This window comes from Homo sapiens, chromosome 19 (assembly GCF_000001405.40).
Source record: "Homo sapiens chromosome 19, GRCh38.p14 Primary Assembly".
Classification (NCBI taxonomy): Eukaryota; Metazoa; Chordata; class Mammalia; order Primates; family Hominidae; genus Homo; species Homo sapiens.
Window position 1 is genome coordinate 5,877,388 of NC_000019.10, and position 27,103 is coordinate 5,904,490.

The 27,103-nt window shown below is 55.8% G+C and overlaps 1 protein-coding gene across 3 annotated transcripts, besides 6 other annotated features; it reads right to left on the minus strand.

The window, feature by feature from the left end:
* Window positions 13,842-26,403, minus strand: NDUFA11 (NADH:ubiquinone oxidoreductase subunit A11). Of its 3 annotated transcripts, NR_034166.3 has the most exons (5): window positions 26,225-26,403; window positions 23,948-24,067; window positions 19,518-19,610; window positions 19,066-19,188; window positions 17,288-17,467 (listed from the first exon to the last, which is right to left on the minus strand). NR_034166.3 is itself a non-coding variant. In NM_001193375.3 (4 exons), exons 1-4 carry the CDS (start codon window positions 26,319-26,321, stop codon window positions 15,530-15,532), a joined length of 687 nt encoding a protein of 228 aa, NP_001180304.1. In that variant the 5' UTR covers window positions 26,322-26,403; the 3' UTR covers window positions 13,842-15,529. The 3 variants fall into 3 exon arrangements, 2 of the variants coding, with proteins under 2 accessions (NP_001180304.1, NP_783313.1); NM_001193375.3 differs by lacking the exons at window positions 17,288-17,467; window positions 23,948-24,067 and adding an exon at window positions 13,842-15,903; NM_175614.5 differs by lacking the exon at window positions 23,948-24,067.
* Window positions 14,869-15,675: an enhancer, noted in NCBI's record as "H3K27ac-H3K4me1 hESC enhancer chr19:5892267-5893073 (GRCh37/hg19 assembly coordinates)". NCBI's record gives its function as "activates a minimal SCP1, AML or CMV promoter by ChIP-STARR-seq in naive H9 embryonic stem cells {active_cell/tissue: H9 hESC(naive)}" and the evidence as "EXISTENCE:reporter gene assay evidence [ECO:0000049][PMID:30033119]".
* Window positions 15,291-15,350: a silencer, noted in NCBI's record as "silent region_9937". NCBI's record gives its function as "represses an Ori minimal core promoter by ATAC-STARR-seq in GM12878 lymphoblastoid cells {active_cell/tissue: GM12878}" and the evidence as "EXISTENCE:reporter gene assay evidence [ECO:0000049][PMID:35858748]".
* Window positions 15,917-16,117: a silencer, noted in NCBI's record as "peak3300 fragment used in MPRA reporter construct". NCBI's record gives its function as "represses an SCP1 promoter by STARR-seq MPRAs in K562 erythroleukemia cells {active_cell/tissue: K562}" and the evidence as "EXISTENCE:reporter gene assay evidence [ECO:0000049][PMID:32103011]".
* Window positions 25,835-26,481: an enhancer, noted in NCBI's record as "NANOG-H3K27ac-H3K4me1 hESC enhancer chr19:5903233-5903879 (GRCh37/hg19 assembly coordinates)". NCBI's record gives its function as "activates a minimal SCP1, AML or CMV promoter by ChIP-STARR-seq in primed H9 embryonic stem cells {active_cell/tissue: H9 hESC(primed)}" and the evidence as "EXISTENCE:reporter gene assay evidence [ECO:0000049][PMID:30033119]".
* Window positions 25,835-26,585: a biological region, named in NCBI's record as "Sharpr-MPRA regulatory region 9916".
* Window positions 26,291-26,585: an enhancer, noted in NCBI's record as "tiled region #9916; HepG2 Activating DNase matched - State 1:Tss, and K562 Activating DNase unmatched - State 1:Tss". NCBI's record gives its function as "activates a minimal TATA promoter and a strong SV40 promoter by Sharpr-MPRA in HepG2 and K562 cells {active_cell/tissue: HepG2 | K562}" and the evidence as "EXISTENCE:reporter gene assay evidence [ECO:0000049][PMID:27701403]".

Consider the following 27,103-nt stretch of genomic DNA (forward strand, 5'->3'; position numbering starts at 1 on the left):
CACCACCACCCTGCACCACCAGGTCCCCCATGGCATTCTCCAGAGAGCAGCAATTTCCCCCAACACTAGAATGTTCCAGATATCCTCACTTACAGTCAGAAGCCACCTGCAGCCCCTAAGTGGTGGAGCAGGGCTCTATGGGGGACTTGCCTGACTTTGGAGTTCTTGACCCTGAGATCTTCAGAAAACCGACTTTCACCTCTGGCAGCTGTGTGGCCTTGGATGAGTTCCTCAACTTCTCTGGGCGTCAGCCACCTCCTCTGTAGAGTGGAGCCACTGCCGGCACCTTCTTCAGGAGGTTGAGGTGACCTGGAAGGTCACGCTGATCCTCCCACCGCCCCACAGGGTCTCTGCGTACCCCCTCTACAGGCTGGAATGTTTGGCCTGGGTCCCTGGCCCTCTGCGGGCCTCGGTTTCCCCTCCTGTAATACTTGTAAGAACTCAGCCTCTCCCTGCTCATCTACATGGTGCTGGGGCCACTAAACAGACAGGGAGTGCGGGAAGCCCCAGGTGACGGTGACAGAAACCTGGCACCCCCTAGAAACCTGACCCTGGCCTCACCCCCGGGTCCCCTGGCACCAACACGCTGAGGTCTGCCCACCCCTGGTACCCAGGCCCAGCTGGGTTCATGCAGCTTAAATTTCAGCCTGTGGTGGGTGAAGAGGCGGGGGCTGGACACGCTTCATTTTCCAATTTCTAGAAATAAAAGCTGTGGGGCCATCTATTGTGGAGTGGAAATAAAGCCCATTGCAAAACCTTGTGTGTGAAAAAATAACAATAGCATTTACCTCCCTGCCCGGGGAGAGAAAATTCCAGGGAATACATGGGGCCGGGGAACAAAGAGGCCTTTCTCTCATTCTGGAAAGGTTTTGTGAAGTGTGCGAGTGGCAATTTTAGAATCAGAAAAGCTAATGGAGGTATTTTCTTTCTTTCTTTCTTTCTGAGACTGAGTCTTGCTCCATCGCCCAGGCTGGAGTGCTGTGGTGCGATCTCGACTCACTGCAACCTCCCACTACCGAGTTCAAGCAATTCTCATGCCTCAGCCTCCCGAGTAGCTGGGATTACAGATGCCCGCCACCACGCCCAGCTAAATTTTGTATTTTAAGTAGAGATGGTGTTTCACTATGTTGGCCAGGCTGTTCTCGAACTCCGGACCTCAAGTGATCTGCCCGCCTCGGCATCCCAAAGTGCTGAGATTACAGGCGTGAGCCACCACACCCGGCCCAATGAAGGTATTTCCGAGAACGAAAACGGTTAGGAGGTGGTCTGTTGGAACCTGGAGGTGAAAAGTATAATTTTCTTTCCTTTTTTTTTTTTTTTCCAGACGGAGTCTCCCTCTGTCGCCTGCCCAGGCTGGAGTGCAGTGGCACAATCTCAGCCCACTGCAACCTCCGCCTCCTGGGTTCAAGTGATTCTCCTGTCTCAGCCTCCCGAGTAGCTGGAATTACAGGCACGCGCCACGACGCCTAGCTAATTTTTTGTATTTTTAGTAGAGATGGGGTTTCACCGTGTTAGCCAGGATGGTCTCAATCTCCTGACCTCGTGATCAGTCTGTCTTGGCCTCCCAAAGTGCTAGGATTACAGCAGTGAGCCACCGCACCGGGCCAAAAAGCATAATTTTCTTGGTTTGTTTTCAGGCGATGTTTTCAAGGTTTCTAAGCACCTGTCTCTCCATCGGCAAAAATTACAGCCAGTAGAGCCAGCGACCTGGGCACCTGGGCCAGCCCTGCAGGGAGTGTATGGAGATGCCACTCACCTTGGGAAGATGCACCAGGAGTTACGGTCCACTCTGTCCCTGTTGGCGTTCTCTGAAGAGTAGAAATTTTCCCCTACCCAGACTCTGAGAATGTTCCAAAGACCTCAATTTATATTTGGTATCCACCTGCAGCCACTCAGTCCCTCAGCCCAGCTGTAGCCTCTGGTCACTCCCCCTCCCAGAGGGAGACAGTGTTGAGATTTGACTTCAGAACAAGGGCAGAGCCTTACAAAAAATGAGCTGGGCATGGTGGTGGGTGCCTGTAATCCCAGCTACTCATGAGGATGAGGCAGGAGAATCACCTGAACCCAGGAGGTGGAGGTTGGAGGTGGAGGTTGCAGTAAGATGAGATCACGCCACTGCTCTCCAGTCTGGGCGACGGAGCAAAACTCTGTCTCACTCACTCACTCAATAAATAAATAAATAAGCGAAAATAAATAGGCCAGGCACAGGGGCTCACGCCTGTAATCCCAGCACTTTGGGAGGCTGAGGTGGGTGGATCACGAGGTAAGGAGTTCGAGACCAGTCTGGCCAACACAGTGAAACCCTGTCTCTACTCAAAATAGAAAAATTAGCTGGGCGGGATGGTGAGCGCCTGTAATCCCAGCTACTTGGGAGGCTGAGGCTCAAGAATTGCACGAACCTGGGAGGCGGAGGTTGCAGTGAGCTGAGATCGCGCCACTGCACTACAGCCTGGGCAAGAGACTCCGTCTCAAAAAAAAAAAAAAAAAAAAAATTGGTGAGGCGCGGTGGCTCAGGCCTATAATCCCAGCACTTTGGGAGGTCAAGGTGGGGGGACTTCCTGAAGTTGGGAGTTTGAGACCAGTTGAGGTCTTTGGAACATTCTGAGACTCCGGGTAGGGAAAAATTTCTATCCTCCAGGGTACTCCAACAGGGAGGGAGAGGACTGCAAATTCTGGCGCATCTCTTCCCAAGGTGGCGTCTCCATACACTCCCCGCAACATGGAGAAACCCTCTCTCTACTAAAAATACAAAATTAGCCGGGCGTGGTGGTGCACGCCTGTAATCCCAGCTACTCAGGAGACTGAGGCAGGAGAATCACTTGAACCCGGGAGGTGGAGGTTGTGGTGAGCCGAGATTGTGCCATTGCACTCCAGCCTGGGCAACAAGAGTGAAATTCCGTCTCAAAAAAAAAAAAGATCTTGTTTATTTCTTGGTTTGTCAGTGTCTTCCCCAGATTGGGCGGCTCATGGGGCAGGGCTTGGGTCCCCAGTATGACCTGGCACCCAGTAGGCACTCAGTAAACAGGTGCTGAATAAATGTCCTTGTCTGTGATGGAAGCTTGAACTCCCACTTGGAGAATTATAAACGAAGACTGAAGATCTTTGGACTCTGGGGCAGGAGTGACCCTCCCCCTGCCCCTTCCCCACCCCCCACCGACCACCCCAGAGATTACAGCCTGCCTCAGGGGAATCTGCAGGTGAGGTAGTCCTCACCCCCAGTGACACAGGGCAGGACCTCGCAGGGCTGGAGATGGAGGAGGCCGGGTGGCAGGCACAGGCAGGCAAAGAATGCTGCCGCAGACGAGAATGAATAAACAGGCTCCTTGGATGTCAGAGGCTGGGGGTGGGGGGACACTTTGAACCTCACGCCTGGCTGGGGATGTTTGGACAAGGCAGGCGGCCAGCGGGTGTCATCAGGGCTAAAATTAACCTCCACTTCCCGCTCAGCCCCTCCCCCTGGGCCAGGAGGGAGGCTGGGGCCCCGGCCATCACTTAAGTGAGCGCTGTATGCCGGACAAAGCTCCTTGAAGAAATCAATGCACGTGGTCCTCTCAACAACCCCGACAGCTGCTATCAGTAATGGCATTGTGATTTATCCCCATTTTGCAGGTGAGGAAACCAAGGCACCGAGAAAAAGGGAGGCTGATAGCCACAAAACTCAAAAGCAGCAGAGTCAGGACTCGAACCTGGGATTCAGGGAGTGTGTTCTCACCTGGAGGTCTCCCTGAAAGCCAGGGGAGATGAAAGAGACCCTGAGCGATGAGTCCTTGGCGGAGGCGGGCATGCGGCCCCTCATTCACTCTCCCCTAGGGACCTCTCCAGAGGTTTCCAGAGTTACAGTAACTTTGGGTCTTTTTGTGCAAATTCCAAGAGATGCCTGCTGTGCCAGTGACCTGCTGGGGACCTAAAACACCCTCATTGAGCCAGGGAAGGGTCAAGGAGGGGGCGGGGACAGGGCTGGTGGGCTGTGGAAACCTCGTGCAGATGGTGAGATATTAAAATACATCCACTCCACAAAAATTAGCTGGGCGTGGTGACGTGCATCTGTAATCCCAGCTACTCAGGAGGCTGAGGTAGAAGAATCACTTGAACCCGGGAGGCAGAGGTTGCAGTGAGCTGAGATTGTGCCTCTGCACTCCAGCCTGGGCGACAGAGCGAGACTCTGTCTCAAAAAAATTAAAAAAAAAAATTAAAAAAAAGATCCACTCCAGACCAGTGCAGTTGCTCATGCCTATAATCCCAGCACTTTGGGAGGCTGAGGCATGAGAATCGCTTGAACCTGGGAGGTGGAGGTTGCAGTGAGCCAGGATCGCGCCACCGGACTCCAGCATGGGCAACAGAACAAAACTCCATCTCAAAAAAAAAAAAAAAAAAAAGGAATGAATGATGCTGTAAGTATATCCCAAGAATTGCATGGGATATACTTACGCCAAGCCGTGATTCATGATCTATCTGAAATCCAAACTTAACTGGATGTCTTGGATTTTTATTTGCTAACTCTGATGACTTCAGCTGGGTGGGGGTGGGGGGCAGTCCCTGTAGCGGGCAGGTGCTAAGAGCAAAGGCAGGCATTAAGGAGGTGAAATCAGAGCCACACCAGGCGCTCAGGTGGCTTCCAGGACGCGACGCCTTCCTAATGGGCTTCCCAGGTGCCTCCGGGACCAGCCAGATGGAGGAGGCTTCGGGGCCTCCCTGGCCCTCACCCGCTGGGCCAGCCCCTCATCACCACCTCCCAGGTCCCTCCTGCCAGGCTCATTATTCATCTTTAACGGTCACTCGGCAGGGGGAGTGTGGGCTGGGAACACCTGGGACTCCCAGGCTTGCAGTGGGCGGCCTCACTAATGGGGGTGAGGCCCCCATTAGAGAGGCAGTAATGGGTGGGAAAGGGGTCCCGGCCCACCAAGGAGCTGGCCTGGGGCAGGAAGCATCCAATTTGGGGCAGGGGCGGGAAACAGACTTCTGCCACCCCCACCCTGCCATTTCCTTTCCTGTCGAGGCAGGAGTCCAGGGAAGCACCTCTGGATGCCTTCACCCTTCCCAATCTCCACCTGGACGGGGTCCTGCTGGGCCCCCCAGACGCAGAGGGGGCTGCTCTGGCACTCCTGCCTCCCCATATCCAGGCAGGGGTAGGATGGATGCCCCAGCCTTGACCTTCCAGCTTCCCATCTGCCAGACTTGCTCAAGAGAGTGGCTCACGGCTAAGGAGTGGAAACTGACACCCAGAGAAGGATCTAGAACCTCGTACTCTTCCATGCTCTTAGCCACTCCCCTTTCTGTCTCTCCTCTGAGCTATCACACATGTTGTTCCTCTCTCTTGGGCACTCTAGCCTGGATGACAAAGGGGGATCCTGTCTCTTAAAAAACAAACAAACAGACAAGGCTGGGTGCGGTGACTAACATCTGTAATCCCAGCACTTTGGGAGGCCAAGGCGGGCAGATCACGAGGTCAAGAGATCGAGACCATCCTGGCCAAACTGGAAAAACCCCATCTCTACTAAAAATACAAAAATTAACTGGGTGTGATGGCACACACCTGTAGTCCCAGCTACTCAGGAGGTGGAGGTTGCAGTGAGCCGAGATCACGCCATTGCACTCCGGCCTGGTCAACAGAGTGAGATTCTGCCTCAAAAAAGAAAAAAAAAGAAAAAAAAAGAAAAAAAGAAACGGCCAGGTATGATGGCTCACGCCTGTAATCCCAGCACTTTGGGAAGCTGAGACGGGCAGATCACCTGAGGTCGGGAGTTTGAGACCAGCCTGACCAACATGGAGAAACACCATCTCTACTAAAAAATACAAAATTAGCCAGGCATGGTGGCGCATGCCTGTAATCCCAGCTACTCACGAGTCTGAGGCAGGAGAATCGCTTGAACCCAGGAGGCAGAGGTTGCGGTGAGCTGAGATCGCACCATTGCACTCCAGCCTGGGCGACAAGAATGAAACTCTGTCTCAAAAAAGAAAAAAAAAAAAAGAAAAAAAATGTCCCTACACCCCTATTAGAATGGCCAAATCCAAAGCCCTGCCAACAGCAACCCCAAATGCCCCGAACCCCTGAGGACAGGGAGCAACAGGGAGTGTCATTCATTGCCGGTGAGAATGCAGAATGGTACAGCCGCTTTGGAACAGTTTGGCAGTTTCTTATAAAACTAAACATACTCTTAGGATGAGACCTAGAAATGGTACTCCTAGGTATTTACCCAAAGGAGCTGAAAACCTAACATCCACACAAAAACCTGCACACAGATGTTTACAGCAGCATTATTCACAGTTGCCAAGATTGGGAAGCAGCCAAGATGTCCTTCAGCAGGAGAATGGGTAAGAACACTGTGGTGTGCTCAGATGACAAAATTTTATTCAGGCTGGGCACGGTGGCTCACGGCTGTAATCCTAGCACTTTGGGAGGCAGGGGCGGGCAGATTACCTAAGGTCAGGAGTTCGAGACCAGCCTGGTCAACATGGGGAAACCCTGTCTCTACTAAAAATACAAAAATTAGCTGGGCGTGGCGGCACGAACCTGTAGTCCCAGCTATTCAGGAGGCAGGAGAATCTCTTGAACCCAAGCAGACATTGCAGTGAGCTGAGATCGCGCCACTGCACTCCAGCCTGGGTGAAAGAGGAAGACTCCATCTATATCTATATCTATATATCTATATCTATATCTATATAAAATATAAAATTCAGTGCTAAAAAGAAATGAGCTGTCAAGCCATGAAAAGACACAGAGGAACCTTAAATGCATTTTTTTTTTGAGACGGAGTTTCGCTCTTGTTGCCCAGGCTGGAGTGCAGTGGCACAATCTTGGCTCACTGCAAACTCTCCCCCACTCCCTGGGTTCAAGCGATTCTCCTGCCTCAACCTCCTGAGTAGCTGAGATAACAGGCGCTGGCCACCACACCTGGCTAATTTTTGTATATTTAGTAGAGATGGGGTTTTATCATCTTGGCCAGGCTGGTCTCAAACTCCTGACTTCAGGCCTCCCTCCGCCTGCCAAGGTGCTGGGATTACAGGCGTGAGCCAACACGCCCAGCCCTTCAATGCATATTACTGAGTGAAAGAAGCCCATTTGAAAAGGTGACACACTGTATGATTCTAGCTACAGAATATTCCCGAAAGAGGAAAACTATGGAGACGGTGAAAAGGTCAGTGGCTGTCAGGGGCTGGGGGAGGAAGGGACGAACAGGCAGAGCACAGTGGATTTTTAGGGTAGTGAAACTACTCTGCATGATACTGTTAAATGGTAGACATATGTCATTACACATTCATCCAAACCCACAGAACATATGCATACAACACCAAGAGTGAACCCTCATGTCAACTATGAACTTTTTTTTTTTTTTTAGATGGAGTTTTGCTCTGTCGCCCAGGCTGGAGTGCAATGGCCTGATCTCAGCTCACTGCAACCTCCACCTCCCAGGTTCAAGTGATTCTTCTGTTTCAGCCTCCCAAGTAGCTGGGATTACAGGCATGCGCCACCATGCCCGGCTAATTTTTTGTATTTTTAGTAGAGATGGGGTTTCACCACATTGGCCAGGTTGGTCTCAAACTCCTGAGCTCAGGTGATCTGCCCACCTTGGCCTCCCAAAGTGCTGGGATTACAGGCGTGAGCCACCACATCCAGCCAAAAATGACATTTATTACAATTTCTTGGCTGGGCTCGGTGGCTCATGCCTGTAATCCCAGCACTTTGGGAGGCCGAGGCAGGCGGATCACAAGGTCAGGAGATCGAGACCATCCTGGCTAACACGGTGAAACCCCGTCTCTACTAAAAATACAAAAAATTAGCTGGGCGTGGTGGAGGCACCTGTAGTCCCAGCTACTCGGGAGGCTGAGGCAGGACGATGGTGTGAACAGGGAAGGCGGAGCTTGCAGTGAGCCAAGATTGTGCCACTGCACTCCAGCCTGGGTGACAGAGTGAGACTCCGTCTCAAAAAAAAAAAAAAAAATTTCTTCATTGCTGCCCGGTGTATAGTAGCAGAAGACTGGAGGCCAGGACATGTGCTTTCACCAGAACAATGGTCCAGCCTCAAGATGGAATATTACACTGTCCTTACAAAAGAGGGGGAAGTTCTGCACTCGAAGAAAAGATCCGAGATGCATTGTTAGGAGTCAACTACGCTGAGCTGCAAGAAAGTACGGGGAGTGTGATGTTGTTTCCGTGGGGAAAAGAAAATATACAGACATGCTTGTTTTGGCGTGGAACATGGCTGGAAGGAGAAACAAGAAACCGACTAATGGCCTCTGGGGATGGCGTGGGGCTTGGGGAGTGGCTGGTATTTATTCTAAACACCCTCTAGAATCTTTTGAATTCTATGGCATGCGTCTGTCTTACCTCTAAAAGAAGGAGGATAAACTGTAAAATGCATTTTAGAAAGCATACTGAGAAAGGCCGGGCGCGGTGGCTCATGCCTGTAATCCCAGCACTTTGGGAGGCCGAGGCCGGAGGATCATGAGGTCAGGAGATCAAGACCATCCTGGCTAACACAGTGAAACCCCGTCTCTACTAAAAATACAAAAAAATTGGCCGGGCTTGGTGCGGGCGCCTGTAGTCCCACCTACTCGGGAGGCTGAAGCAGGAGAATGGCGTGAACCCGGGAGGCAAAGCTTGCAGTGAGCCGAGATGGCGCCACTGCACTCCAGCCTGGGCGACAGAGCGAGACTCCGTCTCAAAAAAAAAAAAGTGCTGAGAAAAAAAAAATGGACAAAATAGAAGACTTTGGATGGGTTTGAAAAGGCTGGGGTGGCAGGGGTGGTGGCTCTAGATTTCAGGCCAGGCCATCGCTCTGCCTGCTGCCCCTCAGTTTGGGCTGAATCCCCCACCAGGCCCCCCAACGAGGCCCCCCAGAGCCCTGCTCTTGTCCTGGCTCACACCTTTCCTACTCTGGTTCAGCGAGGGTTCAGACCAGTGGGGACCCCTGGAAGGTGAGATGTGGGCTGGGCTGGGGCCAGGGACAGGGCCAGGCCTGCCGGAGCCCCTTGCAGCTCGGCCCGACCACCCAGCTTTCCAGGAAGCCCGAGGGGAGGCTTGGCTGGCTCAGAGGAAGGACCTGTGTGCGCCAATGGTGGGGCTGGGGGCCAAACCAGGCCCCTCTGAGCGCCCACGCTCTGAGGAGGACCACAGCAAGTGGAGGGAGGCTGGCTAGAAAAGAGATACACAGGGAGGAAGGCCCGAGCTTCCCTATGCCTCAGTTTCCCCATAGGCCAAATGGCTCGCTGGCTGTGTGGCCCTTGTGGACACAGGGGATGCCTGAGATGATGTGGGACCAGGGAACTATGGCTCCACTGGGTCCTAGCCTTGGACGCCAAGCCAGATAGGATAAGGGGGGGCAAGTCCCGCCCTGACTTCTGGAGCCCTGAAGTAATGACTAACCCGGCTTTAGGCTTTAAGGCTGGGGCCTCCTACCAGAACACAGCCAGGAGAGAGTCACGTCCTCTTTCCTAAGATCTCTACCCCTGTCTACTCCCTCTTCCTCCCTCTGTGCTCTGCTGGGGACCCTGTGGGTACAGGGATGTGGCACCCCCAAGGCATTCAGGGCTCTGGGCCTCTCTTTTTTTAGAGACAGGGTCTCGCTCTGTCACCCAGGCTGGAGTGCGGTGGCAGGATCATAGCTTACTGCAGCCTCGAACTCCTGGGCTCAAGCGATTCTCCTACCTTAGCCTCCTAAGTAGCTGGGACTACAGGTGTGTACCACCATGCCTGGCTCCAGCCCCCTTTTTGGCTCTTTTGGGGGTACCCTAGTGGGCCAGTGTTGGTCCCAGGGGTCTTTGTCAGGACAAGGGAAATGTTTGGCCCAGAAGTGCCTGTCTATGGTTTAAGCAAGATCTGCAGCTGGCCACAGTGACTCCCGCCTGTAATCCCAGCACTTTGGGAGGCTGAAGCAGGAGGGTCACTTGAGGCCGGGAGTTCAAGACCAGCCTGGACAACACAGTGAGACTCCATCTCTACAAAAAATTTAGAAATTAGCCAGGTGTGTTGGTGCATGCCTGTAGTCCCAGCTTCTTGGAAGCTGAGGCAGAAGAATCGTTTGAGCCCAGGAGTTTGAGGTTGCAGTAAGCTATGATCTCACCACTGCACTCCAATCTGGGCAACAGGGCAAGACCTTGTCTTCTTCTTATTTTTTGAGATGGAGTTTTGCTCTTGTCACTCAGGCTGGAGTGCAGTGGCTCGATCTCAGCTCACTGCAACCTCCACCTCCTGGGTTCAAGTGTTTCTCCTGCCTTAGTCTCCTGAGTAGCTGGTATTACAGGCTCACACCACGATGCCTAGCTGATTTTCATTTATTTATTTATTTATTTTGTTTATTTTTTTTTGGAGATGGAGTCTTGCTCTATCACTCAGGCTGGAGTGCAGTGACGCAATCTCGGCTCACTGCAACCTCCGCCTCTCAGGTTCAAGCGATTCTCATGTCTCAGCCTCCCAAGTAGCTGGGATTACAGGCACCTGCCACCACGCCTAATTTTTGCATTTTTAGTAGAGACCGGGTTTTGCCATGTTGGCCAGGCTGGTCTCGAACTCCTGGCCTCAAGTGATCTGCCAATCTCAGCCTCCCAAAGTGCTGAGATTACAGGTGTCAGCCACTGCGCCTGGCTAAGACCCTGTCTTTCTTTTTCTTTCTCTTTTTTTTTTGAGATGGAGTCTCACTCTGTGGCCCAGGCTGGAGCGCAGTGGCGCGATCTCGGCTCACTGCAAGCTCCGCCTCCCAGGTTCACGCCATTCTCTCGCCTCAGCCTCCCGAGCAGCTGGAACTACAGGCGCCCGCCACCACACCCCGCTGAATTTTTTTTGTATTTTTTAGTAGAGACAGGGTTTTTCTCCATGCTAGCCAGGATGGTCTCGATCTCCTGACCTCGTGATCCGCCCACCTCGGCCTCCCAAAGTACTGGGATTACAGGCGTGAGCCACCACGCCCGGCCAAGACCCTTTCTTAAAAAAAAAAAAAAAAAATACACACACACACACACAGTAGTTGCTTCATGATGGGTGTATGTTTGGAGAAATTCGTCATTAGATGATTTTGTCATGCACAAACATCCCAGCGTACACACGCCTAGATGGTAGAACGTACTGCACACCAGGCTTCATGGTACTGTCTACTGCTCCCAGGCTATAAACCTGCAGAGCATGTGACTGTACAGAATACTGTGGGCAACTGTAACATGATGACAAATATTTGTCTCTAAACATCCACAAACAGAAAAGGTACAATAAAAATATGGTATAAAATCTTATGGGAGCCGGGTGCGGTGGCTCACACTTGTATTCCCAGCACTTTGGGAGGCCGAGGCGGGCAGATCACTTAAGGTCAGGAGTTTGAGACCAGCCTGGCCAACTTGATGAAACCCCATCTCTACTACAAATACAAAAGAATTAGGCGGATGTGGTGGCGGGAGCCTGTAATCCCAGCTACTCGGGAGGCTGAGGCAGAGAATTGCTTGAACCCAGGAGGTGGAGGTTGCAGTGAGCCGAGATCTCCCCACTGCACTCCAACCTGAGTGACAGAGTGAAACTCCATCTCAGAAAAAAAAAACAAAAACAGGCCGGGCGCAGTGGCTCATGCCTGTAATCCCAGCACTTTGGGAGGCCGAGGCGGGCGGATCACGAGGTCAGGAGATTGAGACCATCCTGGCTAACACGGTGAAACCCGGTCTCTACTAAAAATACAAAAAAATTAGCCGGGCGTGGCAGTGGGCGCCTGTAGTCCCAGCTACTCAGGAGGCTGAGGCAGGAGAATGGCGTCAACCTGGGAGGCGGAGCTTGCAGTGAGCCACTGCACTCCAGCCTGGGTGACAATGTGAGAGAGCAAGACTCTGTCTCAAAAAACCAAACTAAACAAAAAAAAAGAAAAGAAAAAAAAAGAAACAAAAACAAAAACAAAAAACAACAAATTAACTGAGTGTGGTGGTGGGCACCTGTAATCCCAGATACTCGGGAGGCTGAGGCTGGAGAATCGCTTGAACCCCTAGGCGGCAGAGACTCAGTGTCAAAAAAAAAAAAAAAAAAAAAGTCTCATGGGACTCCCTTCACATATGTGGTCCGTCAGTGACCGAAATGCTGTTATACTGCACATGACTGTTTGCTGAATGAACTCTGAGTCTTGCCCCCGGGTCTGGAGGGCTTCTCTTCCCGTGCCTTCCCGCACTCCACTGCAGCCATCATCTCATGTGGGGAGAGTGAGAAGGACCCTGATCCCCCTCCGAGAGCCTATACCACCCAGGCAGCAAAGCAGGGCCAGGCAGGGTGCACAGCCACCCCCAAGTGGTTCTCAGGCCCCACCTCTGGACCTCCTACCCTTTGCAGACCTGGAGATTCATTCATTTGTTTATCCATTCATTCATTCCACACATAGTTCTGGAGCCCTGCTGCGTTCCTCGGCTGGGTGCCGGGGTGTAGGCAGAGGATATAACAGCCAGGATACGTCCCAGTCCTCAAGGAGGTGCACATAAATAACACACGTGATGGTGACGTGGGACTTAGAAACTGGCAGGGGCTACGGGCAAAACTAGAAGGCAAATGAGTGTGGAGTGCTGGTGGCCTGGGGACGGGGGATGAGGAGGTGGCTTGTGAGCTGAGAATTGAAGGAGGTGAGGGGTGAGCTTGGGGACATCTAGGGGACAGGCATTGCAGGCAGAGGGTATGGACTATGCAAAGGCCCTAGGGCAGGACTGTGCCAGGGGTTTTGGAGGAAGAGTGAGGAGGCTGGTGGGGCTGGAGCAGTGAAGAGGGGAGGGGAGGAGAGGGAGGGGAGGGAGAGGAGGGGTCGGGACACACAGGGCATAGTGGGCTGTAGAGAGGATTTGGGCTTTTCCCCCAAGTGGGGTGGGAGCCATGGAGGACTGTGGGCAGGGGAGGGGCGGGACCTGACTTAGGGGCTCACAGGCGCCTTCTGGCTCAGGGGGTAGCCGGGTGACCAGGGCAGAGGGGACTACGCTTGTCGTGATGATGGAATCAGACTAGAGGCAGATCTGGGACAGATTCTGAAGGCAAAGGGGCTCGAGATGCGGGGAGGGCGGGAGCAGCTCTTCAGTCCCAGGAGGGGCACACATCAGCCCCGTGGGGTCTTCTCAGCTGTGTCCCACCCCAATCATGTCAAACACATTTATAGGAGCCCACAGCCCACACTCAACACAAGTTTAAAGGAGTACAGTTGTGCTCAAGTTGGCAGCGAAAACACCTTCCTTTCTCAGTGAGGTATTTTCTTTTTTTTTTTTTTTGAGACGGAGTCTCACTCTGTCGCCCAAGCTGGAGTGCAGTGGCGTGATCTTGGCTCACTGCAAGCTCCGCCTCCCGGGTTCACGCCATTCTCGTGCCTCAGCCTCCCGAGTAGCTGGGACTACAGACGCCCGCCACCATGCCAGACTGTTTTTGTATTCTTAGTAGAGACAGGGTTTCACCGTGTTAGTCAGGATGGTCTCAATCTCCTGACCTTGTGATCCGCCCGCCTCGGCCTCCCAAAGTGCTGGGATTACAGGCGTGAGCCACCGCGCCCAGCCCTTAGTGGGGTGTTTTCGCTCCAATCTCCAAGACCACTAAGAAAGTCTTAAAGGAACAAATTGCCATTTTCCAAACAATAGCTATTCTTAGGAGAAGTAACACTTCTTTTAGCTACTGCCAGGCCCTGGGAAGTCACCTCCCGGGCCTCAGTTTCCTCATCTGTAAAATAGGACTAATGCCTAACAGAGCTCACGCACGGCTGCGCAGACTAAAATGAGCCAAAAATAATAATAACAACTGCACCTGCCTGGCAGGTGGGAAAAGCTTGATGTTCCCCACCCCCACCCCCCTTTTTTTTGTCTTGTGAATGTTTTCTTGGCTCACCCAAGAGCTTAGAGACCCCCGGCGGCGGGGCCTGGGTCAGCGCCAGCCCAGGCCAGCGTTATTTATTTATTTATTTTTGATACAAAGTCTCGCTCACTGTCTCCCAGGCTGGAGTACAGTGACATGATCTCGGCTCACTGCAACCTCCACCTCCCAGGTTCAAGGGATTCTCATGCCTCAGCCTCCCAAGTAGCTGGGATTACAGGTGCCTGCCACCACACCTGGCTTATTTTTGTATAGTAGAGACAGGGTTTCACTGTGTTGGCCAGGGTGGTCTGAAACTCCTGACCTCAAGTGATCCCCCAGCCTCGGCCTCCCAAAGTACTGGGATTACAGGCCTGAGCCACGGCGCAGGGCCAGGCCGGTGTTCTTGGAGCCTTGTCTCTGCTGGGGATGTGTCTCCAGGGATGGATTCTCGGGAAGCAAGTGTGTGCCCTGCAGCCCCCAGGCACCTCTCCTGGACCAGGAGGCCCCTGATCGCCCACTGCTCTCCCTCACAGCAGGCCTCTGCTGTTGCTGTGTGCTCTGCCTGGACCAGCCTCCCGCTGGGTACACATGGAAAAGCCTCTTCATCCTTGGGCCCTCTCTGCTGTGCCGCCTCCTCCTCTAGGAAGCCCTCCTAGCTCCCCAGGGAGGCTCTGCCCCTCCTCAGTTCCAGCCCTGACTGCCTGGGGCTGGGAAGGGCTCCATGAAGTTCAAGGTAAACTCAGGAAGGGTCCCCCACAGCCCCTCAGGGAGCCTGCTGGGACCGATGTTCCAGACGGGGGCCCTCTTGTGTGTGGGGTGGGAGTGACGTCAGCCCTCCACAACCTAGTAAATGTTTATGGGCCGGGGGGCCTCGGCTTTGGGGTTCCCTGGAGCCCAGCAAGAGACCACCCCCTCGTGTTCCATTCTGGGGGGCCCGTCCTGCAGGCGAGGTGGGGGCGCCTGGCAGGCCTGCGCCAACCCTGGCGGCTAGCCCGGAATGGGCTGGGTGGGCGGCGAGCACAGCTCCTGGTCTGAGCCGTCGGCTCCCTTGAACACAGGGAGGCACCTGGGGCTGGGAGGTGCGAAGGGGCGTGCGGCCTTTAAATTTCAAGCTCCACTACCCAGGGTGGGCCTCAGCGCGCGCATCCGTGGAAGAGGGCTAAGAGATCTGGTACAGGGTTTGGGCCGCACACGGGCCTGGAGGGCCGGGGAAGGGCTTGCAGGGGGCGGAGGCCTGCGTGGAACCAGTCCCAGAAGCGGCCATGGTGCAGGGCTGAGGGTGACCGTCGTGGGGACGTGGACTAGTCTTTCCTCCTGTCCAGCCTTCGGTGTCCTTGGCTGGAGGTTTGGGGCTGTATTGCCCATTCCTAGAAGCCATCACTTCCCGGCTGCGGTGGGCAGGATGCATGGGAAGGAAGGGGGATGAGGGACAGACAAGGCCTGGAGTGCGGAGGAAGGGATGGAATCTGACGCCTGTGGTCACCGCGGGGCTGGGGGCCTGGGGATGACCGCCCGGGTCCACACTGCCCAGCAGGCCGTGCTGTGGTGGGCGCTGCCCCCTGCCGGCCGCAGTAGAGACAGAGGCCGGTGCCCTCGAGTGGATGCGATGCCCGTGAGTGGATGGGATGCCTGCAGGGAGGTGGAATCGTCTTTCTTTGTGGGGCATCTCTGAGGGGCCCTTATTCCCATTTACCAGGTGGGAAAGCTGAGGCCTGGGTGCTGCCGTCCTCTGAGGACAGAACAAGGAAAGAATCAAGTTCTGGGGTTCGAACCCAGAGTGTTTAACAATGACTCTATTAGGGCTTGGACAGGTGTCAGGGCCCCTGCCCCTCTGGGTGCGGGGTGGGTGTGTCCGCCCTTTCTCAGGGAGCCCGAGGCCCGGGCACCCAGCTCCGGAAGTGGACGTGACCCTGAGCTGTTGCATGCCCCCCTTGTGCTGGAACACGCGTGGACATCTGTGCTCTCTCCAGAGAGGACTTCGAGGCAGGCGCTGGAAGAAGGGACCCAGAATCTCTGTACACAGTGGCTCATGCCTATAATCCCAGCACTCTGGGAGGCTGAGGTGTGAGGACTGCTCGAGGCCAGGAGTTTGAGACCAGCCTGCACAACACAGTGAGATCCTGTCTCTACAAAAAATAAAAATAAAAACAATTAGCTGGCTGTAGTGGTGCACACCTGCAGTCCCAGCTACCAGGGAGGCTGAGATGAGAGAGTCGCATAAGCCAGGAAGGTCAAGGTTCCAGTGAGCCATGATCCTGCCACTGCCCTCCAGCTTGAGAGACAGAGCAAGACTATGTCTCAAAAAGACGAATTTTTGGTAGAGACAGGGTCTCACTGCGTTGCCCAGGCTGGTTCCAAGCTCCTGGCCTCAAGCAATCCTCCCACCTCAACCTCCAAAAGTGCTGAGATTACAGGCTCAAACCACCAGGCCCAGCCTACAACATTTTTTAAAAAAATTAACCAGGCATAGTGGCGGTGGCCATAGTCCTGGCTACTCGGGAGGCTGAGGTGGGAGGATTGCTTGGGCCCGGGAGTTCCAGGCTGAGTTACTACTCGGGGGTGGACAGAGAAGGATATGAGGCTGAAAGTGAAGTTTGGCTTTTCACATCTAGGCCCCGCGGATGGGCTTGAGAAAAGGGAAGAGATGGGGCCGGATACGGGTCAGGAGGGCCATAGCCAGCCCTGCCGGTTCCTGCTGTCCCCGGCCCACCAGCAGGGCCCAGATCCATCCCAGCCAGGGCTGTGCACAGCTCCGCTCCCCTGGGTGGAGCCTGGAGCGCCCTAATTTGCAGCCCACCGCAGCATGTGGGAGCTTGCAGGCTTCCTCTCCAGCTGCCAGGGAGCATGAGCCAGTTCTGGAGAAGGGGCCCGGGGTGGTGCCAGCATTCCAGGGCCACCTAAATCACTGGCCTGACAGGTGGCAGGAAGGGATCGCAATTCTTTCCCTTGTCGCTGCCACCAGCCAGGTGCTGAGGGGGGTCCTGTCCCGCTCTGCCCTAGCCCCAGGGGCTGCGAGTGACCTGCCGGATGGGGACGGCTGCTGGACCAGCCTGTCCGGGGCTCTCCGCTCCAGTGCCCAGGAATTTGGAGACAGGGCCTGGGCGTGTTTTCCACATGTTGTTGGCTTTGGGGACAGGCCCAGAGAAAGGATGGCTCAAGATCTGCAGGGGGGTTGTGACCAGAGCCCACAGCGCTGAGGGAAGGGCTGTGGGCGGCAGGGCCCATTTTCCACTTGCTGGCAGGTCACTGGCACGCTCCTGCCCTGCCCTGGGAACTGGGGGAAGCAGAGGCTGGGGCGCATCCCAGCCGTCTCCCCTCCTGGGCTCCCGATGGCCCCAGCCTGATGCACTACCAGTTCTGTGGGGCCAGGCTGGTACCCTTGGCAGGGACGGCAGGCGGCAGGCAGGCGCGTGTGCAGGGGGCCTTATCTTATCTCCCTTCCTCACTCCCTCCCAGATCCGCCCTCACCGGCTGCTGTGTCGCCGTCATCAAGCCCTCCGGACACTGACACACACACAGACACAGAATTTATTTCTGGACGCATTCTGCAGGCTGGAGGTCCCGGCAGGCACAGGGCTCACACCTTGGGTTTTGCAAACACCTCCCAGCCCTCCAGCCGGCCCATCTTGACCAGGGAGGCCGCTATGCCAAAGTACACGCAGGCGGCGGCGCCAATCCCGTAGTTGTGCGCTGTGGGAGTGGGGAGGTGATGTCAGGCCCGGGTGGGGCTCGGCCGGACCAAGACGCTCCACGCCCTGGCCGGTGCCCACCCTGGGAGCCAGACTGAGACCCCTGACAGGACACTCTCTTCAGGGATTAAGTCACTCAGGAAGAGGGCCCTAGACTCTGGAGATGTGGAAACTGATGCACAGAGGGAGGCCGGAGTCCAGGTTGCTTCCCAGCAGGAACCCAGGCTGTGGGTCCTCATCCCGCCCCACACTGACTTCCCCCTGCGAGGACACCGTGCTGCCCCCAGCTGGGGCTGGGGCAAGGCTGGGCACCGGGCCATGGTGACACATCGGTGTGTCTCAGTCTCTCCTTTGCCCATGGATGCCAGGGCCAGGCCACGCATCTGTCCCGTGGTCTGTGTACCGAGGAGCCCCGACAGTGCCCCCACTTCTCCAGGCTCTCCTGCTCCGAAGCCTCCGGGCCAGAGGAGGAAGGAGGTGTGTCCCCACACACCAGGACCTAAAGGGACTCACACTCTTTGAAGAGAGACAGGGAGGCTGGCTTGGGGACAGGGAGCAGTTCCAGCCTGAGCTGGGCTACAGTCAAGACCTCAACCCACCTGCAACCTCTGACCAGTTCCAGTGGGAGCTGGGGAGGGACAAGGCCTCCCCAAGGTCTTGACGCAGAGACAGCAGTGACGGCGTACGCCCTGCCCTCGCACCCTCCCTCTCTGCCTGCCTGGAACCTGCCATTCATCACTCCCAACATGCCAGGCCAGAGCGGCTGAGCTGCAAGAGGGCTCGTTCACTCCTCCCGCTGGCCCTGAGGGCCCGAGCCTTGGCGGGCTGGGGGTAGGCCAGGGGCACAGGCGGGCACTGACGCTGAGCCCGGGCCCATGGGAGGGCAGGAGTGATGTCTGGCTCATGCTCCAGACGGGCTCCCCTGTGCCAAGCGTGGCCTTCTCCACCAGGGCTGCACCCTCTGATGGCTGCAAAGAAGGCCACTTGCTCCTCCAGGTGACCTCGGGCCACTTAATTCCCTCCCTGAGCCCTAATACCCTTTTCTGTAAAGTGAAGGTTGCGGGGGCAGCTCCCCTGCAGGGCTCCAGGTGCAGGGAGAGAGATGGCAGGGCGAGACTCCATCCATCCTCCTCTCTGACTCACAGGCCAGTGGCAGAGACAGGGGGTGACCTTGGTGACCTGTGTCCTCTGACAAGGCACACAGAAGGAAGGCGGCACAGAGCGAGGGCGGCGGGGATGCTGGCTTGTACACAGGGTGGTCAGGACAGTGAGGGGAACAGCATTCCACGCAGTGCACTGCCCATGCAAAGGCCCTGGGGCAGGACTGTACCTGGCATGTGGGAGGAGCAGTGAGGAGGCCCGTGTGGCTGGAGCAGAGTGAGGAGGGGAGGGTGGGGAGGGGACAGGGCAGGTCAGGGAGGGCCACAGTAGGTGCTTAAGCAGCAGCAGCAGCTGTCGCTATGACTGAAATGGCTGGTGTTCAAGAAGGCTGCTTTACTTCTTGTCCGGGATGGAACAGAGAGGGTGGAGGATGAGCAGAGGTCAGGGGTCATTCTGCCAGGCTGGGAGGAGGGTGGGGGTGGGGAGGGGGCCACTCACTGCGTGCTCCCAGAGTCAGGCCTCCGGCGCAGCCACCGAGGAAGTAGTTCAGGGGGTCGTCGGGCTTCTCGCGGACATGGGCGCTGATGCAGGTGGTGAGGCCAAACACGGCCCCGACAGCAGCTGCGGGGTAGACGGGAAGAGCAAGGGCCTCGAGACGGGCACAGCAGGAGCCTCTTGGGCGCTCACTGCCAGTGTCTGGATGGAGAGAGATGCCACGAGTCGGCTGCTCGCTGTGCATGGCAGCCTCCTGGCCCCAGTCCTGGAGCTGTTCTCCTGGGCCTCCCCACCCTACATGTATTCCTGATAAAGGAACACCCCACTTTCTCCGGATGGCCAGCACTGTGGACACGGGCTGGGGAGTCAGAGAGAAGAGGCAGCCGTCAAATGTGCTCTGAGAGCTGGGGCTGTGCCAGGAGAGGGCCCAGCCATGCCCAGCCCAGCGTGCTCACCTGCAGTGAACGTGTATTGTCCAACCTTAGCCACTCCTTCAAGGAAGGTGCCCGGAGGATTGAGTGTGACTCTGTAGGCAGCGGCGGTCAGGCCTGCGAGACAGAGGAGGGAGGCTGTTCAGACCCCACTGCTGCTAAGCCCTTGCTTGGCCGGGCACCCCACTGGGTGGTCTCCCTCCCTCAGTCCTCACGATGCCCCCCTTCTTTGCCCATAGTGTCCCCGGCTGCTGAGTGGCAGAGCTGGATTTGAACTCGGGTTTGCTGCTCCAAAACTGGGGGGCCTCTCACTTCCTTCCCCACTCCCCGCCAGGCCTTCCTTGGCCACTTTCTCAAGCCTGACCAGTACTGGCTCCTGCAGAGCACCTGCTGGGCGCCCATCAGCCATGCTGGCCCTGGCAGGGCACCGGCCGGCAGACGGAGACTCATCCACGTGGTGGACACAAGAACAGGCCTGAGACCTCAGTTCTGCGGCTGCTTCCAGCCTCACACCGCCAGCTCAGCGGCGCCCCCCACGGGCCCTGGCACCAGGGCCCCAGCTCCAGGTTCCCATCAATGGCTCTATTCTCCTGTGGGGCCCGGGGCTCCTGGGCCTAATCCCCCTTGGCAGTGGCTCTGCTTCCCTGCCTGGCTGCCAACGCCTCCTCCTTGCCACTCTCGACCCCCTCCTGCTGGCAGCTCGGGCCTGGGCTCGTCCTGCACACCTGGCTGTCTGGCTGCCGCCCCCGCCACCCAGCCTCGCCACTCCGGTCAGCTTTTCCATCTCTGCCATTTCCCAGGCCGCCTGGCCCCTGACATTGGCTTCTATGCATGAGGAGCTTGGGCCGGGGCCGGGCCCAGAACTCAGGGCCAGGTAGGTGGTGGGGACGGAGGTTTGATCCCAGCCCACCGTCCCTGCTGGGTGCCTAGGGGCGTCCTGAGTGAGGCTGGGCAGTCCCTTGGGCCACGTCCTCCCAGAGCCCGCCCAGCTTCACCAGCCCCTCTATGGTGGATGGGCAGATTGAGCCAGCCCGAGCCGGGGCTCCCCAATCCTCTGCCTGACTGCTCAGGGCAAACAAGCACCCCCCTCTCCCTACAGCCTCGAAACATAGCCCAGTTGCAGGCAGGGACCTCCTCGGGCCAGCCCATCCCAGAGAAAACAGAACTGCCAGGGATGGGCCACAAGGGCCCTCATCCTTCTCGGGGCCCGATGGGCTCAGTCCCGTTATCCCCTCCTTCACGGGAGGTGAAGGGACCTCCGAGATGTAAAGCAATTCTCCAGAGGTCACCCAGCACAGCGAGCCTGGACGCCAGGCAGGTCTGACCACAGCCTATGCTTCACCCACCACGACTGCCCCAGGGGAGTGGGCTCCACCCCAGTTCCCCATCCAGCTTCAAGGGACCCATGGGACATGCCAGGCCTGGCAGTGACCCCCCCCAACAGCACCCTAGCCTCAGATCCAATTCAGCTCATGTTGGTTCTGTCCCTCAAGAGCGACTGAGGGGACTCTCACATCCAGCAGTGGGGTGAGCACATATTCAGAGCAGCCCATAGGAGGGACCATCTGCTCCCCACAAGCACAGATGGGGAAACTGAGACCCAGGATGCAGAGAAAGGGACCACATATAAAGAGTACCTTGTGGATCTGGTTTCTCCTAATCCTACACCAACCCCTGGGATTCCTGCTCGACCTCAGAAAGGTGGATGGAGGACCAGGCGCAGTGGCTCACGCCTGTAATCCCAGCACTTTAAGAGGCCAAGGTGGGCGGATCATTTGAGGTTAGGAGTTTGAGACCAGCCTGACCGACATGGTGAAATCCCTTCTCTACTAAAAATACAAAAATTAGCCAGGCATGGTGGTACACATCTGTAGTCCCAGCTACTTGGGAGGCTGAGTCAGGAGAACCACTTGAACCCAGGAAGCGGAGGCTGCAGTGAGCCAAGATTGCGCCACTGCACTCCAGCCTGGGGGACAGAGTGAGACTCCGTCTCAAAATAAAAAAAAAAAAAAAAAAGAAAGAAAGGTGGATGGAGCGGAGTGCCAGGTCTGGGGGCTGTGGCAGGAAAGGGGGTTGCTACTGCATCCACGGTAAGGGACTGGAGTCCAGTACAGCCGTCCCCCCAGGACTCCCCACCTGCTCCTGGCCCAGCAGCCCCATCCTCAGTCACACTTCAGTCAGTGCACACACACACACACACACATCCCCCCCTTCCAAATTCTTTTATGTATTTACTAATTGAAAGAGAGCTGGAGTCTATGAAGATTCTTTTTTTTTTTTTTTTCTTGAGATAGAGTCTCGCTCTGTCGCCCAGGCTGGAGTGCAGTGGCGCTATCTCGGCTCACTGCAAGCCCCGCCTCCTGGGTTCACACCATTCTCCTGCCTCAGCCTCCCGAGTAGCTGGGACTACAGGCGCCCGCCACCACGCCTGGCTAATTTTTTGTATTTTTAGTAGAGACGGGGTTTCACCGTGTTAGCCAGGATGGTCTCCATCTCCTGACCTCGTGATCCGCCCGCCTCGGCCTCCCAAAAGTGCTGAGATTACAGGCGTGAGCCACCGCGCCCGGACTCTTTTTTTTTTTTTTTTTTTTTTTGAGACAGTCTTGCTCTGTTGCCCAGGCTAGAGTGCAGTGGTGCAAACTTGGCTCACTGCAACCTCTGCCTCCTTGGTTCAATTTTCCCACCTCAGCCTCCTGAGTAGCTGGGATTACAGGCGCCTGCCACCATGCCCAGCTAATTATTATTATTATTATTTTTTGTATTTTTAGTAGAGACGGGGTTTTACCATGTTGGCCAGGCTGGTCTCAAACTCCTGACCTTAGGTGATCCACCCACCTCAGCCTCCCAAAGTGCTGGGATTAAAGGCCTGAGCAACCATGCCCGGACTTGAAGATTCTTAATGGGAGGGGACTGCCAGCCCTGCCTGGGACCTGAAAAGTCCTGATCCAGGGCTGGGCCAGCCATGACAGTCTTATAACCCTCTCATCTCAAGAGGGAACCACCGACAAGACTCAGTGACGCCCCCAGAACTGTCACCGAGGGACTCCTGGGCGGAACCTCCTTACACCACCCCCACATGCCAGCTGTCCTGACCAAGGGACCCCTAGCTCATGGAGCACACCTGACACGGTGAGTGCGCCCACCATCCTCCATCCCTTCCAAAGTCCTTGAACTGGGAGTGGACGAGCTGGGACCCCCTGATTATCCCATAGAGGTCAAGGACTGCCCCACCCCAACTCTGCCCCAGCTGTCATCCAGCTGTGGTGTCCTGCCATATCCACCCCTCCAGGAGCCCCCAGCGCCCTTCAAAAGGCCCCCTTCCCTCTGAAGGGAAACTGCTGGTTTCCTCTGAGCCTCCCACAGTGACCGCCAGACCCAGTGTGAATTCATTCATTCATTCAGCTACTGCCACTCATTCATTCATTCACAAAGTTACCGAGTACCTAACAAGGTGCCACATTCACTCATTCATTCACTCACAAATGGTGCCCACAAGATGCTTCATTCATTCATTCATTCATTCATCCATAGTTATCATGTGCCCACAGGTCCTGGGCTCTGCTGAGTATAGTCTCCCCGCCGTCCAGGGTCCCCAACTCAGGGAAGCCAGCCAGGAAACAATTTATCTCCCTCAGATGAGAAGTGAGGGGAGCCCCGGAATGAAGTGAGTGGGGCAGTGAGGGGAGGACCCAGAAACACGTTTCAGCAAGTTCTGCACAATGAGTGGAGCTGGTCACTGAAGAATTTAGGGAGAAGGGTGGGTGCAGTGGCTCACGCCTGTAATCCCAGCACTTTGGGAGGCCAAGGCGGGCGGATCACCTGAGGTCAGGAGGTTGAGACCGGCCTGGCCAACATGGCGAAACCTTGTCTCTACTAAAAATACAAAAATTAGCCAGGCACGGTGGCAGGCACCTGTAATCCCAGCTACTTGGGAGGCTGAGACACAAGAATTGCTGGGAGGCAGAGGTTGCAGTAAGCCAAGATCGCACCACTGCACTCCAGCCTGGGTGACAGAATGAGACTCCGTCTCAAAAAAAAAAAAAAAAAGAAAAAAGAAAAAAGAAAAATTTAGGGAGAATGAATGTCACTCTCAAAGACCCCGGGGCACCCTTGGAGGGCTCACAGAAGCCACTGAGCACCCCTAAATCTAAATCTGATGCCATCAGCGATCTCCTGACATGGCAACTCTGTCAAAAGTTCTGACCTCCCCTTCTAAGACCCTCTGGGGAGCACCCCCGGTCTCAGAGGCCCTTCACTCAGCAGCACCACACCCCGAGACAAGCTGTCTCCTCCAAAGGCCTCCTGAGACCGCAGCCCACTCATTTTGTATTCACACATGAGGAATGCACACACTCTCTCACATGAACACCAACATACGCGTCTTTCTCAGTTTCAGATCCTATCCCCTGGGTGGCCCCCTTCAGCCCTTTCTCTTGAAGACCCTCGATAAGGACCTGATGGGAACATTCCTTGCTTCAGAGACCCCTAGGAGCAGGTCAGCCGACCTGGACTTGCAGCCCAGCTTCAAATGACCCTGGAGCAGTTAATATGCTTCTCCAACCTTCAGTCCCTACCTGTAAGAAATGGAGACACAATAACGTCTGTCTTACTATTAATAAATATGCAAAATATGGGAGTGATGATTAGGTCTGCCCTAATTCAAATGCCTCCCAATGGAGCCGCAACTTTGGCCGGGCCCTGTTTCACATATGCTGGAAATACAGAGTTGACCAAATTGATTCCTCAGCTTATAGACACACCAGGTTGTAAAGACTGTTTCTTTGGGTTTTTTTTTTTTTTTCTTTTTGAGACGGAGTCTTGCTCTGTCGCCCAGGCTGGAGTGCAGAGGCGCAATCTCGGCTCACTGCAAGCTCCGCCTCCCAGGTTCACGCCATTCTCCTTCCTCAGCCTCCTGAGTATCTGGGACTACAGGTGTCCACCACCACGCCCGGCTAATTTTTTTTGTATTTTTAGTAGAGACGGGTTTTCACCGTGTTAGCCAGGATGGTCTCGATCTCCTGACCTCGTGATCCACCTGCCTCGGCCTCCCAAAGTGCTGGGACTACAGGCGTGAGCCACCGCGCCCGGCTGGTTTTGTTTTGTTTTGTTTTTTGAGACAGCGTCTCACTCTGTCGCCCAGGCTGGAGTGCAGTGGCACAATCTCGGCTCACTGCAACCTCTGCCTCCTGGATTCACGCCATTCTCCTGCCTCAGCCTCCCAAGTAGCTGGGACTACAGGCACCCGCCATCATGCCTGGCTGATTTTTTGTATTTTTAGTAGAGACGGGGTTTCACCGTGTTAGCCAGGATGGTCTCAATCTCCTGACCTCATGATCCGCCTCCCAAAGTGCTGGGATTACAGGTGTGAGCCACCATGCCCGGCCTATTATTTTTATTTTTTGAGACAAGGTCTCGCTCTGTCGCCCAGGCTGGGGTGCAGTGGTGCAAACATAGCTCACTAGAGCCTTGAACTCCTGGTTTCAAGTGATCCTCTTGTCTCAGCCTCCTGAGTAGCTGGGACTACAGGTACGCACCATCATGCCCAGCTAATTGTTTTACTTTTTTGCAGAGATGGGGATCTTGCTATTTTGCCCAGGCTGGTCTGGAACTCCTGGCCTCAAGCGATCCTCCCACTTTGGCCTCCTGAGCGCCGGATTACAGGTGTGAGCCACCGCGCCTGGCCCAGTTTGTAAAGATTCTTCATCAGAGGGAAGAGGACTTCCAGCTCCATCTGGGACCTGATGAGTCCCAACCTGTGGCTGAGAATTAAAGGGCATGATGCCCATGAAACGCTCAGGCTGGAAGGGGCAAGACTCAGATTTACTCTATAAGAGAATGCCAGGGCCGGCCGGGCATGGTGGCTCACGCCTGTAATCCCAGCACTTTGGGAGCCCGAGATGGGCGGATGGCCTGAGACCAGGAGTTCCAGATCAGTCTGGCCAACACGGTGAAACCCCGTCTCTACTAAAAATACAAAATAATTAGCCAGGCGCGGTGGCGTGAGCCCGTAATCCCAGCTACTTGGGAGGCTGAGGCAAGGGAATTGCTCGAACCAGGGACGTGAAGGTTGCAGTGAGCCGAGATCTCGCCACTGCAGTCCAGCCCGGGCGACAGAGCAAGGCTCTGTCTCAAAAAAAAAAAAAAAAAAGGAGAATGCCAGGGCTTGCGGGTCCCCTTCATTCCCCTGCAAGGCTACCCTCATAGTAGCTCCTGATCCACCTCACCTAGGACCTCTCTGGCGGTCCCAGTAAAAGCTTCAGGTGTCCCTAACCACCCAGCACCCCCTGACCACAGAAAGACCTCATCCCACCCCAAAACTTTCTCAAACATCTGTACCGCCCTCAGATGCCCCAATCATGACTCATGATCCCCTCTAACAATCTCTACCCCGTTGGAAAGTCTCGTGGTCCCTTAGCTCCTTGGACCTGATAATAGCCCTGTCTCACTCCACAATTTCCCCGAGCCTGGCGATAGCTTGGGACCGCCTCAGATGACCCCAGGGACTAGCTTGTCGCATGTCACGACCTCCCAGTGCTCCCCAACCCTGCTGGACCCCCTACCAACATCCATTTCACACAAGATCCCCCCCTACGACCGCCCAAGACACCCCGATGACAACCACGTGCGTACCCGCGAGACTCCCAGACCCGTTCGATCCAAACAGCCCCCAGTAACCCCACGACCTCCCTGCGGCCTCGGCCCTCCACCCTCGGGGCCCGGCCGGCGCTCACCAGCGACGCTGGCAATACTGGTGGTGCTGTAGGCTTTGCGGTGGCAATCGGTGCCATCGGGGATATCCCAGTACTGACGAAAAACCTTCGGCGCCATAGCCCGCAATCTCGATCCCGCACCACGGACCCCGCCAGCTCGGGAAGCGCAAGGGCAGCCGCGGCTGGCTATCGCGAGACTTCTCGGGCTGCGCGCGCAACCTTTCGGGCTAGCGGGCCGGCAACAAGTGAGCAACTTTATTGATAGGCGCGGACATGGACATGGATCGCGCGCACGCGCCGGGGACCGGCCTGGAGGAAGAGAGTAGCACGTGCATCCCCAGGCCGATTCCTAGAGGGTGAAACTGAGGACGACTGCGATCAGTGCAGACAGATTTCGCTAGTCCCAGCTCAGGGAGTCCTAGGTTAGGGACTACTAGAGGCGGGGACTATCTACTAGGGGAGGGGCCGGGCTCAGACTGGGACGGGCGGGACTCCAGTTGATAGGAGCAAGACATGACGAAACAATGACTGGGGGGCGGGGCATGGCGGGGATGTGGCCACACCCAGTGTCAGAATCTGCATAGCGAGTGGTCATGCCCTGTGGTCAGTCACCAAGCTGGAGTCTGAGCAGCGTGCTACTGTTTTGGGCCGTGGACAGGATCAGGGGCGGGGATTATCGGGAAAGTGACCAATGACAATACGAGAAGCTCAGCGGGACGTGGCCTCTGTTCACCCCGCGGCTGTCCCACGCCCTAGGCCGGATGAAGTACACAGGCGCTTGACTTGGGGGCGTGGCTAGAATTGGAGGCATAACCTAAAAGGGACTTGACCAATCTGAGACTGTATAAGGGATGAAGGGGCGAGGCCGTGCCTGGATCTACCCCTGACAGGCCACAGGTT

What these genes read in the sequence shown, in the direction of transcription:
- NDUFA11 (NM_001193375.3), bottom strand. Translation starts at nt 26,321, where the DNA reads ATGGCGCCGAAGGTTTTTCGTCAGTACTGGGATATCCCCGATGGCACC. An exon ending in CAGTATTGCCAGCGTCGCTG is followed by an intron (nt 19,611 to 26,224) that starts GTGAGCGCCGGC and finishes TCTGTCTCGCAG; the next exon opens with GCCTGACCGCCGCTGCCTAC. An exon ending in ACAATACACGTTCACTGCAG is followed by an intron (nt 19,189 to 19,517) that starts GTGAGCACGCTG and finishes TCTACCCCGCAG; the next exon opens with CTGCTGTCGGGGCCGTGTTT.